Source organism: Homo sapiens, chromosome 16 (genome assembly GCF_000001405.40).
Source record: "Homo sapiens chromosome 16, GRCh38.p14 Primary Assembly".
Taxonomy (NCBI): domain Eukaryota; kingdom Metazoa; phylum Chordata; class Mammalia; order Primates; family Hominidae; genus Homo; species Homo sapiens.
Genome location: NC_000016.10, coordinates 60,553,265 through 60,567,294, shown reverse-complemented (window position 1 = coordinate 60,567,294; position 14,030 = coordinate 60,553,265).

Below are 14,030 nucleotides of genomic sequence, written 5' to 3'. Positions count from 1 at the left end.
ATGCTATCCAACCACAATGATAATATCAAAAACAATAATAAAACACAAGAGTAATCAGAGCTACAACTGAAAAGCTTCTAACTCTTATTGAATTCTTATCATATACCCATTCTTAGTGCTAGAGATATATGATGCAATTTAATTCTCACTGCTAAGCTATACATTTGTCATTCCCACTTGACAGAGGCACAGAGAACATAGACACAATGCTGAAGGATTACACTGCCTTTACATCATAGAACCAAAGTTATAAGCCAGGCAGTCTTACTGGAAAGCTCTAGTCCCAAGTATTTATGTTTCAGAATTATTCAGTATTGTATGAGTATGTTTATTATTCAGAATTATTATAATTATATGTATTATAGTATGTATGTAATATCTATAGACCTACATGTACCCAGTTAATATCAATTAACAATTAAACTGAAAAATTTTATAGGCAATGTGTTAACTAATTGTTATTACCATAACAAAATAGCAGGAGTGAACATGAGTCCTGTTATTTTTCACTAACAATCCTGTGGTTAATCCAATGACGTGGCTCTTTGAAAGTGATAGAAAGTTTCAACATTATCTATGTCAAGTCCATTTGGGATGAGGTTACACGGATCTCATTTAAGAATATAAGACCCTCTCTCGGCATGCTGTCAGGACATATATGGATGTGATTGAATGGATGTAAGGAGGAAGCAGGACTGTGAGTGCTGTAACTGGGTTTATGCTGGATTTACTGTACTAGGCACTTTACATTCCATTATTTCTTGGATACTGTATCTATGAGTTTGGAATTAGTATTCTCATTTTAAAGATGAGAAACCCAATTCTTGGTAAGGTTAATTAACTTCGCCAAGATCAGTCAGCAATTGAGTGCTTTTTAAAAAAATCCCGGAAATATGTAACTCTAATATTTCTGCTCATAACTACTAAGAAATTTGGCTTTCTTTTTATGTGTGTGATATATGGAGATCATGTTGTTTATGTGAACATTATAGGTCTAAAACACAAATAAAGTCGGGCAGGTAGTAGAAACAATTTATCATATCCATATCTCTTTTTCCAGGATGATTTTTCTTTGTATCTTAGATAAGAGAAATCCACAAGGAGAGTGCCCTGGTGTTGATTTTACCATTAAAAACAAAATTACGTATTTCGGAATTATTAAAAACATTATATTTTTATTGCCATCACTAAGTTTGTTAAGCTGTGATTGTAATTTTAGTGCTAATGTAAATTATGTTTCTCTTAAAAGAAATATCCAACATGGCATTTAGTACAGCAAATTGAATATGATCTTTTCACTGAGGCTATATTATCCTTTTGCTAATTAACATCGTCTTCCAGTGCAAGACTTTGTGGGGAAAAATGATGATGCCAACAGTAGCTGAGGGATGAAATCCAGAGGGAATGTTATTGAATTAGTTTGAGCACTGTGGAGTACAACTAAAACTAATTGTTTGGGAAAGATTTGAGGTTTGTATGCAAAAGGAAACAGATCAAATCCCCCTCTAAAGGATAATATGACTTTGTCTCATCTTTGAAAAAGAGACTAGTTATAGTTATTGTACATTTGTTACTTTTTTTTCCTCCCCAACAGTGGTTGAAAAGACAATTATTTATTTATTTCTCTCTCTCTCTCTCTCTCTCTCTCTCTCTCTCTCTGTGTGTGTATGTGTGTGTACACACAACTACAACCATTGTAAAAAATGCAGTTTTTACAAAAACCTCAACTATTCCTCCTCATAGTTTATTCATCTGCCACAAATAGTGATACACTGAAATGGATGAAGAGAGAACAATTGAATGATATAATACAGTTTATTCTTTTAAACAAATGGCTCGAGGCTTTATCCCAACATCCCTGTTTGAGTTCTCTTTTTGTTGTTTTGGTGCCTTGATGTTAGTTTTTGTGTTTGTTTTGGTTTTTTGTTTGTTTGTTTTTGTTTTGTTTTGTTTTTCCTGGGTAGTTTGTCCTTTTCATTTCCATCAGCCATCTTTTCTCATCATTAAAACTATGACAACTTGCACTACCACATGCTCTGATAAGCTTTAGGCTTGGAAATCAGAAAATCAAACCCATCCTTTTAACTTACTGAAGGGATACTTATGGTATAGTTAGTTAGACAATAAGTATAATGTTGACCTAAAAGCAACTTAAATAGTCCCTACCTTATAGAATGAGAGTGTAAGTCCAGTAGGCAATTCATAAAAGAGAGTTACATAAAGGAACAATAGCTACAATAAGTGGAAAGAACAATAATGCTATGAATATATATGCTAAAGAAAATTGTCCCAGCTATGGAATTGTGTCTGAAGAAGTATTTATTATCATTATTGTTAATAACATGAAGTTTTATACATGTGGTCAGACATAATTATCATAATTTTGAAAGCCTATTTCTCAATATCTGGTCTGGGAAAGTGAAAAGCAAAGAACTGATGACTTCTTTTACACCGCCCTTTTTCTGACCCACTGATCATCACAAGGACAGTGACTCAGCTTTTTTCCCCTCCTCCATATTTATTCCCAGCCTTGGCATCATTATATGCTGGCAACTTATATTCCATAATTTAAATTCGCTGAGTGATGAGAATTATTTTGTTTTTTCTGCTGTTGTTGTGTTATACATGAGTATTGACCTTATATGTAACTGCTAGAAAATTAAAGGTAGATATATGTAACTGCTAGAAAATTAAAGGTAGACACACCCTCAAGCTCATTATTCTCCTCTCTACCCTCTTTTTCTAATCCCAGTGAAAAAAGTGTCCAGCCATTAAGCGTGTGGGTTCTTAATGGCCCCAGAGACAATGTGGCCCAGTGGAAGGCTTGGCTACAGTACACAGAATGTGTCTTAACTTGGGCACTTACTAAATTTCTCTGTTTAGGCGTTTCATTATATACACAGATGGGATAGAAATTGCAATCTTCTCATTGGTGTGTTGTTGGGATAAAATGAAAAGGCTCCTGGCACACAGTAACTATTCTATGCATATCAGCTATCATCATTGCTGAATTTTAGCTTACTAACTGCAACATCTTAGCTTTCATTGTGCATCCTATGGGTCTACCTAGCCTCCTCTAATTATTCATTGGACATTCTTGTGGCTTAGTTTCATGCTCACAATTAGCACAGGCTTTCTGATACTGGATGTATCATCTTATTTTTCTTTCTTTCTTTCTTTCTTTTTTTTTTTTTGATGGAATCTCACTCTGTCGCTAGGCTAGAGTGCAGTGGCACAATCTCAGCTCACTGCAACCTCTGCCTCCAGGGTTCAAGCGATTCTCCTGCCTCAGCCTCCTGAGTAGATGGGAATAAGGCGTGTGCCACCATGCCCAGCTAATTTTTGTGTAGAGGCGGGGTTTCACCATGTTGGCCAGGATGGTCTCCATCTCTTTACCTTGTGATCTGCCCTCCTAGGCCTCCCAAAGTGCTGGGATTACAGGCGTGAGCCACCGTGTCCTGCCATCATCTTATTTTTCAAACTACACACATCTCTCAGTAACTTGTCTTTATGACAGACCCTTTCATTTGTGTTGGTATTCCTTCATTTTATAAGTCAGCTCATGTGCTCCAGTGGTCAAAGAACTTAGTGCAATTATGACAGACTCCTTGAATAGCTTGAATGGTAAATACATGAAGTAGTCTTCAGGGACCAGAAATCATGTTGATGTAGAGTCCCTCCTTCCACAGATGCCCTGCCTTCACATGACACAGATTCAGAATGGTTTAGAACTACAGGAAAAGTTTACTATTTTGGTACAGGAGGCTGCAAAGAAAAAGATTTCATTAGGAAGCATATTTACCTGGGAGATTTGAGCATGTGCTTTTGTTTCAGATTTTCTCATTTTGCAATCTGCATTGTTTGTGCTGACAAGTCCTTCTGAGAGAGGCTATAAGCAATTTCCAGCTGGAATAGAGAGGAGAAAACAAACAGCTTGCAAGCAAATACATGAAGAAATCTCAGCTGCTTCTTAAATGACATGTGCATACTTGTGACTATTTAAGTCCTAATGTCTCCACATGGAAGCCTTTCCTGCTCTAAATAAGAAATAGATTTTAAGAAATTAGCCTGGGTTTATGGATATCCTTGTTCTCTATTCTCTATTATGAAACCTCAAAGATGTATTGGGCCTGATTGGAGCACGAAGTCTCAAATCTTTTTATAGACTTGTGTACTTTCTATATACCACATATGCCAGTCAGTTTAGAGAAATAAAGGCCTTGAGAAACTTGACTTTGAGACTGGACTAGATGCAATAAGAGTAAAGTACCCAACTAGGAAGGAATAATGGGCTGGGTGTCACCAGGTACCCAGTAATGTGTGGCTTCTGTCTCAGAAGGATGAAAGGGGCTCCAAAGGGGATCGAAATAATGATCAAGATCTACTGAGTGCCTGCTATGTGGGGAGCACTGTAGTGAGTGGTGTAGCTCCTACATCCTCTTTCACTCTCACAATGATGCTGGGAGACAAATCCTAACATCATTATTATATCTGCACAAGCATATTGAATCATGGGGAAATTAAGCACCTTGTTCAAGGTCAAATTATCAGCATAGAAATGAAATTAAAAGCCAGGCCATCTATCTCCATGGTCTTATCCATAATTCCCACCCTCCACCTTCTCACAATTACCCCTATTGCAGCATTTTGAACAATTGCTGTGCATATAATGCAATCAGGCTCCCAGAATCAACAAGGATAAAACTTGAGGACACAATTTACCATATTACACCTATTTCCTAACAGGGTGATAGAAGCAGTAACAATATTTTATCACTTATCTTTCATCTTAAGTAACTTAGTTATTGGCATTCAGAGAAAAGACTGTGCCTGCAATTGTAACCAGTATGCATTATTGATCAAGGTAAAAGATTTGTAATCAGAAGTTCCTTAAGTTATACAAAGTGTTATACTTGAATCAAGATACAGCTTGTGTATAGAAGCTTTTTCAAATATAAAATCTCATCCAAAAATATATGAGAATTTTCCAAACAAATAAAACAGTATTATAAACAGTACCTTTTGCTTGATCCTGCCTTCTATTCCATATTCAGTGAAGATGCTAAAGACAGATTTACCTTTGAAAAACAGTTTATCAAGCATTATGGTTGAACAATTGGGAGATACTGTATAAAGGAGTAAGAGAATAATAGAGTATATACTTGGTAATGATTTTAAAAAATAAATTTTAAAAATAATTTTTGAATTTTAATTTTTAAAAATTTTTTAATAATTAAAATTTAAATAATTTAATAATTAAAATTTTTTAAATTTAAAATTTATCCTAAAAATAAATTTTAAACAATTAAAAAATAATTTGTGGTGTCTGTTAGGTACTAATGCACTATTAATTGCTTCGCAACTATTATCATATTTAATACTCTTAGTAACGTTGTAATATTATTGGAACATAGAGATCTTAGAAAAAGAAATAACTACATGAAAAACAAAGGTGCGGAAGTGTTCAGAGAAGTCTTTGAAAGAGAGATGTTCATAGGGCTGAGTTGTAAAAGGTAAGTAGAATTAAACAGAAAAAAATCAGGAAGCGTCTTCCAGGAAAAAAAAAATAACATACTCAAGGACGCTGGGAGGGGTGGGAGACTATAGGGCAATTTGGAGTCAGAAATTGTGGTCGTAGTTACCCACAGAGTGGGAGAAAATCTTCGCCAACTATGCATCTGACAAAAGACTAATATCCAGAATCTACAAGGAACTCAAACAAATCAGCAAGAAAAAAACTAACAATCCCATCAAAAAGTGGGCTAAGAAAGTAAATAGACAATTCTCAAAAACAGACATAGAAATGGCAAACATACATATGAAGAAAATTCTCAACATCACTAATTATCAGGGAAATGTAAATCAAAACTACAATGTAATACCACATTACTCCTGCAAGAATGGCCATAATAAAATAAATAAATAAATAAATAGTAGACGTTGGCGTGGATGTGATGAAAAGGGAACACTCACACTGCTGGTGGGAATATAAACTAGTACAAGTACTGTGGAAAACAGTGTGGAGATTCTTTAAAGAACGAAAAGTAGATCTACCATTTTATCTGGCAGTCCCACTACTGTGTGTCTACCCAGAGGAAAAGAGTTGTTATACGAAAAGATACTGGTACATGCATGTTTACAACAGCACAGTTCACAATTGTAAAAATACGGAACCAGCCCAAGTGCCCATCAATCAATAAGTGGCTAAGGAAAATGTGATAGATATATACATGCTCAGCCTGGCCAAGATGGTGAAACCCCATCTCTACTAAAAATACAAAAATCAGCTGGGCTTGGTGGCGGGCTCCTGTAATCTCAGCTACTTGGGAGGCTGAGGCAGAGAATTGCTTGAAACCAGGAGACAGATGTTGCGGTGAGTCGAGATCATGCCACTGCACTCCAGCCTGGGTGACACAGTGAGACTCCGTCTCAAAAAAAAAAAAAAAAAAAAGTGCTAAGTATTATGAACAAATGCAATGAAAGTCACGTGGTGGTCAAAATTGCTTTGAGGAGCAATGGGTATTTGAACTGCATATTTATGAATTATCTATATTTAAATAATCAGAATACCGGGTAGAGACCATAATTCTGGGCACAGGAAAAAATGATGTGTTTCATTTCTCTGTGCCTCAGAGAATAAAAATCTTGATGTGAACAGAAAATCTTCTTCAAGGTCCCTGCGATCAATCTAAGATACAAAGCTGTGTCTCTGGAAATCTTATAAGGATACCAGAGATTTTTAAATAATTAATGTAGAACTGATGTTATTATTATTAAACAGATGTACCTTGATGTTCATTAACTATTCATGGTATTTGTTTTGGAAATTCTAACCAAAAACTGATTGCAAGCTAATCTTCTGTCAAGGCCTGCCCAGCTTGTGTTAATAATAAGAAAAATGATAATAATAATAGTGACTCCTGAGTGAAATTGTCATATCTTAGAGTTTTGGCAAGGAAGCTTTTAAAACACTCTTATTTTTGACTGTGATTCTTGGCATTTTTAAGGTTTTACATCTGGAATTTTAGAATTTCTATCCCCTGTAAGACTCCAGTTTTGTTATTACTGTTAGTAAATCTGACATGGAGCACTCTATTAGAAAAAAAAAAACTTCGTTTGTGGAAAAAAATACTCATGTTTAAAGGTTCTGTTATTTTCAAAGGAGTTAAAAATATCACTGAATATGTTCAGTTTTTACTTTTTTATAGAGTGTATAACTTTGACAGCAAAATAAGTTTTAGTAGTTTCTGGAATATTTGTAGAAGATATCTCATAAACAACTATTCTAGTGCAAGATAATTCTGATCAATAACACTGAAATTTAACAAGTAAATTTTTATTTATCTCAAATATATTATTAAAAGTATGTCTAGTAATATTCTATTTATGAGAGAGTCTTGGCCACTCTATTTCCATACTTTCCATGCTATATTGGTAATTCCCATTTGCTGATCTAGAATTCCCAGCTTCAGAGCTCAAGCATACTGAGTTAGAGAAGATGTAGTATCAGTTTAACTGTATCAGGGAAATAAGATCTTTAGTGTTGTTCCTTCAGATCTGGTACTGATGGTGCCAATCACATCATTTGGGCTTAATTTTCATGACTGAGCTTCTTATGTCTCAGGCATCTTACCTACCAATGCAACTGCTTGAACTTAATCTCAAGTGTTTATGGTATAAATCTTGATTCCATGGAGTGACCTTGAGATGTCCTCTTCCTTGAGAGCCATTTGTATTTTCCATACTCCCCAAGTGTGAAAAAATTAGTCACCTGGGTAAAATCTCTATGATCACTAAAAAGTTTCCACCTATTTCTTATGGCTATTAATTTATTATCTAGCACTTCTCAATTCCCTGTGACAATGGTTTATGCCAAATTACTGCGCAATCCTTTTCTCTAGAGGAAGAACACACTTTGAAACTTGAGTTTGGGCTTAGCCGTGAATAGTGGTGTCAATGAACCACAAATCTCTGAAACTCTCCTCAACAAGTGGAAGTGAATACTTTTCCCCTGGAATCTCAGTTGGCCTTCGTGATTAGCTTGGAGCTAATAAATATAACATAAGACACATTGGGTAGCTTCTGAGATTAGGTTGGTAGATGTCATGCAGGTCCTATCTGGTTTCTTGACACACTTGTTTGAAGAGCCCTGAGTCACCATGTGAGAAACCCAACAACTCTGAGGTCAGAAAGGCCATGTTTAGATACCCTGTTCAGCATTTCTTGCTGAGTCTGTTTTATAGCCAGACCAACTCACCAGGCATATGAGTAAATATATCATCTTGGAAGATCTCCTATCCAACTATTCAAGTCTTTTGAGTCATCTCAGGTGAAGATCAGACATCATAGACTAGAGAAGAGATATCCATACTATGTCCTCCCTAAATGCTTAGACAACAGAATCTGAGAGGACAGTAAAGTAGTTGTTTTTTCTTTTTTTTTTTTTATGCCATTACATTTTTTTTTCACAGCTATGGATATCTGGAAAATCCTGTGATTACTTTGCCTGATGGGATACGGCAGGAACTGATTTTATGCCATGTATAAGCCTAGACCTCAAAACCTCAAGAAGTTTTACATATCTTATTTTTTTTCCCATGTGCTACTGACATTGGTAGAATAAGAACATGCTCTGGCTAGCCTGATGTTCCATTGAAGTCCTAAAACTTGGAAAAAATCTTCGTCCATCATGCAGTGGGGAGCTGGGCCCAGCCCACCCCACAGCTCACAGCACAGATGCCCAATCAAGTCCAGACTAGATTAGAAACCGCCACTTAACCTACAAACCCAGGAATGATTATAAATAATTGTTTTGTGATATCTATTTTGAGGATAGTTGACTACACAGCAAGAGCAGACCAAAACAAAAACAAAAACCAAAAGTATTGCTGCAACTAATTGCAATTGTTGGACTGCCTCTTACCACATAGTTGCATTGGCCAGTGACAAAGCCAGTGTTCCATGCCTCTTTCCATTTTATACTTTGACTTTTTGGAGATTTCTACCTCAGTGACCAACTTCAGGCCTCTCCTATCATCCTAGAAAGGCTTTCCCAGACTAAAATTGTGAAATAGAACCAATGTCTATGGAATATTGATTTGGGTCACCAGAATAATTAAAAGAAAAAGCATTTTTTCATACCTCCCACTGCGATCCTTCTAATCTCCTCCTTCATTCCTTAACTTTAAACCAGTTTCCCCCTCAATGATTTCTAGAGTTATCAAATGCTCTACTATATAATGCAACACTGAGTTTTCCTCAAAAGGCAAAGACTATCTTTCTCCAAATAAAGTATTTTTTTTTCACACTGGTAATTGTACAAATGTTTGTGTGGTTCTCTTTCTCTTTTTCTTTCTCCTTCTCTCTCTCTCTCATGCTGAGGGCATTTCAGAATTATTTCCTTTCCCATCTGTTTCCCAGCAAATGATATAGACTACAAAGTTCAGAGTTGTATAGATACAAGGGCTGATGGCATCAGTATTTCTTACTCACATATAGCCCCCCAAAGCTCAAAATCACATTTGCCACTAAATTCCAATTGCAAAAGCCAGATGGAGAACTGAAATGCAATAAAACAAGATGTGTATTTCCATTTCAAATGTTTAATGACTTGCCATTGGTAGATAAAAAATTAGGAACTTAAGGTTAGGTACAGCAGTCAGGAAAGGTGGGCACATCAGGACAGAATCTATAGAATAAAATTTTATAAATGTCTAGAGTGTCTGAAAGAAATATCATCAACATTATAAAATAGAAGTTCTGGGAAGGATCTTTGAGAATACCTATTGAATTTTATAGGTGAGGAAACAGAATCAAGGTTAAAATGCTGCATAATCCTATTGAATTCCATTAAGTGGCAGGGCTAGTATTTGATCTGAAACAGACATCCTGTGACTTTTTTCTAAATCACATTAATAAGTTTTGGAAAGAAAATGAGAATGCAGAAGAGACAGCAATGGTGGGAGGGAAGAGACTAATAAAGAATAATGTATAAACAGAAAGTTGTTAATCAAAGGAAAAAAGAAAACAAGTGAGAGTACCCCTCACCCCCACCAAACAAAGAAGAGTGGGAACCTGAAAACTGAACTTGGACTTTTCACCTGACCATCGGGTACCTCATTTTATTCTAGGCAAAAATTAGAATGATTAGTTTAATTTATAATGGATGGAGGGAGCTAAAAGACATATAATCTTCATGACACCCAAATACCAACATCGTGGGCATTACTTTTACTGTCCCACACAGCTCCAAGAAAAAGAAAATAACTTGGAAAGGGAGAGCCTGGCTGAAGAGGTCAGAATAGAATTGTTTTTGATATAAGTTTGCAGGTCAACAAAATAGGATTCAATAGTTTGTTTCATTATTTGCTGTTTTACCTTGAGCAAGTTATTTCATCATGCTGAGCCTCAATTTTTTTTCATCTTACAATTGAGGATTATTATGAGGATCACATGACGTACGTTTGTTAAAGCAACTGGCATGTCCTAAACACTTTTATAGATGCAAAGATGTTTAGATAGTTGTCAATGTTATACAGGAGTGGAAAACAAAGGGAGCAAACTTTGCTCAAAATTGGACAAAATCAGCCAACCAACCAAACAAATAAAACAACAAAATACTGTTAAAAACATTTGCAATAGTAGCACGAGCATTTCCTAAAATCCTACCTGTGGTGTTGAAGCTAGCAGTTATGGCAGTTCTATAAAGCCTTGATTGTTCTATAATTCTATAGTTGTTCTATAAATTCTAAAGCCTGTTATGCCACAACTATGAAACTTTGGGCACAATAGTTAATGGAGGCATTATGCTTGCCTGTATGATGCCAGGCTGCTGCAGTCTGAGCAAATAACACTTAAAGGAAAATGGGCTTCATGCAATGGGATTTGTGATAGAATGAAATTTTTGTTTATGCAAAATGCAACTATGTATAAGAAGGTCTCAGTCAATTGAGAGTATGGTCAACTGGGATTCCATTACTTGGCAATACATTATAACATTTGGATCTGTAATTTGTAAGGTTTGAAACTTTTCCTTAGTGTCCAGAAGAGAGTATGATACATAACCGGTTGTAAATAAATACTTTTTGTATTATTCTTCTGCTTATTTTACCACTTTATAATGTAATGCCTGCACAGGATAAATAACAGGATGGTATAGGGAAGAGAACAATAAGACAAGATGTGTGTATTCTGGTTTAGTCTCTCCTTCTAACTGGTTAGCTGCAGGAATCTAACTTTCAGTCTCTTCTAAGGCTGTTCCCTCAAGGGCATCTATATAGGGGCTGACATATTCTAGTTGCTAAGTGAGGCAATCCAAATATGATAATCTGATTGCTTTTTGTTGGTTTCAGTCTACTTACTTTTCAATACCAACTCTGTCACTTATTGACTGTGTGATCTTGAGAGAGTTATATCACCTCTCCCTAACTCTGTTTTCTCATCTATATCATGTGCCACAGTGGAGGCAGGTGACAATAATAACTGCCTCACATGACTGTTTTGAGGATTTAAAAAGTAACTTCTGCAACCAAATGGAAGAGCATCAGACACAAAGAGAAACTTTAAATATATGTTAGATGTTATTGGCCATATTCTAAGAAAAAATAGGAAGCCATGTAAGAGTTTCAGGTTGTAGTGGTGTCAGGGAGGTGAAACATGATTTTCAGTTTAAAAAAAAAAAAAAAGCTTCCTGGAGAGATGTGCATTGATTGTGCAATGTGTGGATAGACCATGAATATGATTATGAAACAGGGCAAATAACAGAGGGAACTGACTTCTGCTGGATCTACAGCTCATATCATTGCATAAGAGGGAGAACCAGTAATGGGACCCTACAGAGTATAATTTGTTGAACCAAACAATTTCATAAGAGTAAAAAATATAAAAGCCCACCACTACAAACAGTTCCCAAATTCAAAATTGTTATGTAAGAGGGCATTAGGTTGAGTCCTCTGTGTGAACTTGTTTTACATTAAATATGAACAGAAACGTTTTGTAGATTAAAGATCAGGCAAGAATATGGTAGTGAAGAGGGCAGAGCAAAAGGGTGGAACAGAAGCCCAAACCAATTATACCCTTCATGGGAATACCAAATTTTAACAATTATCTGTACACAGAAAAGCACCATCAGAAGAACCAAAAATCAGGTGAGCAATCACAGTACCCCATTTTAACATCATACCTTGGTAAAAGGCATTGAGGAGAGCAGGACAGACAGTCTTGATTTGCCAGTACCACCCCTCGCCATCTCCTGGCAGCTCAGTGCAGCGGGGAGAGTCTGTGCATTTAGGGGAGGGAGAGTGCAGTGATAGGGGAAGATTACATTGAACTCAGTGCTGCCCTGTCATAGCAGAAGGTAATGTGGTGCTGGGCTTAGCCAGTTTCCACACAGGGAAGGAGCATTTGGACCTAGCCAAAGAGGAATTGCCCATCCCAATGGTTGAAAGTCAAGTTTCTCCACAAGCCTTGCCACCATGGGCCAAAGTGCTCTGGGGTTCTAGGTAAATTTGAAAGGCAGTATAGGACACAAGGACTGCAGTTCCTAGGCAACTCCTACTGCTGGGCTGGGCTCAGAGCCAGAGGACTAGAGTGGCATGTGACCTAGGGAGACGATAGGTGGGCTGGCTAAAGGAGTGCTTGTACCATCTCACCACCAAGCCCAGGCAGTGCGGCTTGCAGTAATGAAAGTGTCTCCTTCCTTCTGCTTAAGGGATGGAGAGCAAAGCATAAAGAGGACTTTGCCTTGCATCTTGAATACCTGCTTAGCCAGAGTAGAATATGGCATCAGGCGGAGTTATAAAACCACCATTCCAGGACCCAGCTTCCAAATGGTATTTCCAGACACACCCTGGGCCAAAAGGGAAACTGCTACCTTGAAGGAGAGGACTCGGTCCTGGAAGGACTCATCACCTGCTAACCAAAGGGCCCTTGGACCCTGAATAACCAACAGCAAAGCTCAGGTAGTATGCCATGGGCCTTGGGTTCTAAAACGTGCTGAAATCAGATGTGACCCAGCACATTCCTAGTTGTGGTGGCTACAGTGAAGGACTTCTATTGAAAAAAAGCAAAGGGGAAATTAAGAGGGACTTTCTCTTGCTCCTTAGGTACCAGCTCATCCACAGTGCAGTAAAAAAACAAGCAGGCACTTAGGGTCCCCGAATCCAGGCCAAGGCTCTTGGACAGCATGTTCTGGACCTGCCCTGGGACAGAGTCTAGCCCACTGTCCTGAAGAGTGAGTCCCAGGCCAGGCAGCATTCACCACAGACTGATGGAAGAGTCCTTGGGCTTTAAGTGAATATTGGTGATGGACTGGAAGAATGCCCTTGTGAGCTGGTTGTGGTAGTGCCCACAGGGAGAGGCTCCCGTGACTATAGAAGGCGGGGGGAAGAGTGGGAAGGACTTTATATTGTGGTTAGAGTGCCAACATAGCTGAAATGAAATCAAACATCAGTTGAGTTTCTAAGATTATTGACTCAAATTTCTGGCTCCCAGATAGCATCTCTAGACTCCCCCAGGGCCCAGGGCAACTTGCTACACTGAAGGGAAGGATGCAAACCTAGCTGGCTTTATCACCTGCAGATTGCAGAGCCTTACAGGCTTGAGTGAACATAAGTGGTAGCCAGGTAGCAGTTACAGTGCAGTGGGCCTTGGGCAAAACCCAGTGCTGTTATGGCTTTTGTTCCAACCCAGCACAGTTCCTGTGGTCATGGAAACAAGAGTACTTGCAACACCACACCCCCAGTTCCAGGAGGTTCAGCACAAAGAGAGAGTCCCTTTGTTTGGGAAAAAGCAAGGGAAAATAACAAGAAATCTCTTCCTGGGGAACCAGATCCTATTCAAGACCACCAAGGCAGTGCATCTACGAGTCTGCAAAAACCCAAGTCCCTTTGAATACTTGGAAATCCTTGTCAAGAAGGAAGGGCACAAACAAAACCAGACTGTGAAGAGTGCAATTAATACCTAACTCTTCAATGCTAAGACAGCAAAGAACATACACAAGTATCGACACCCAGGAAAACATGACCTCACCG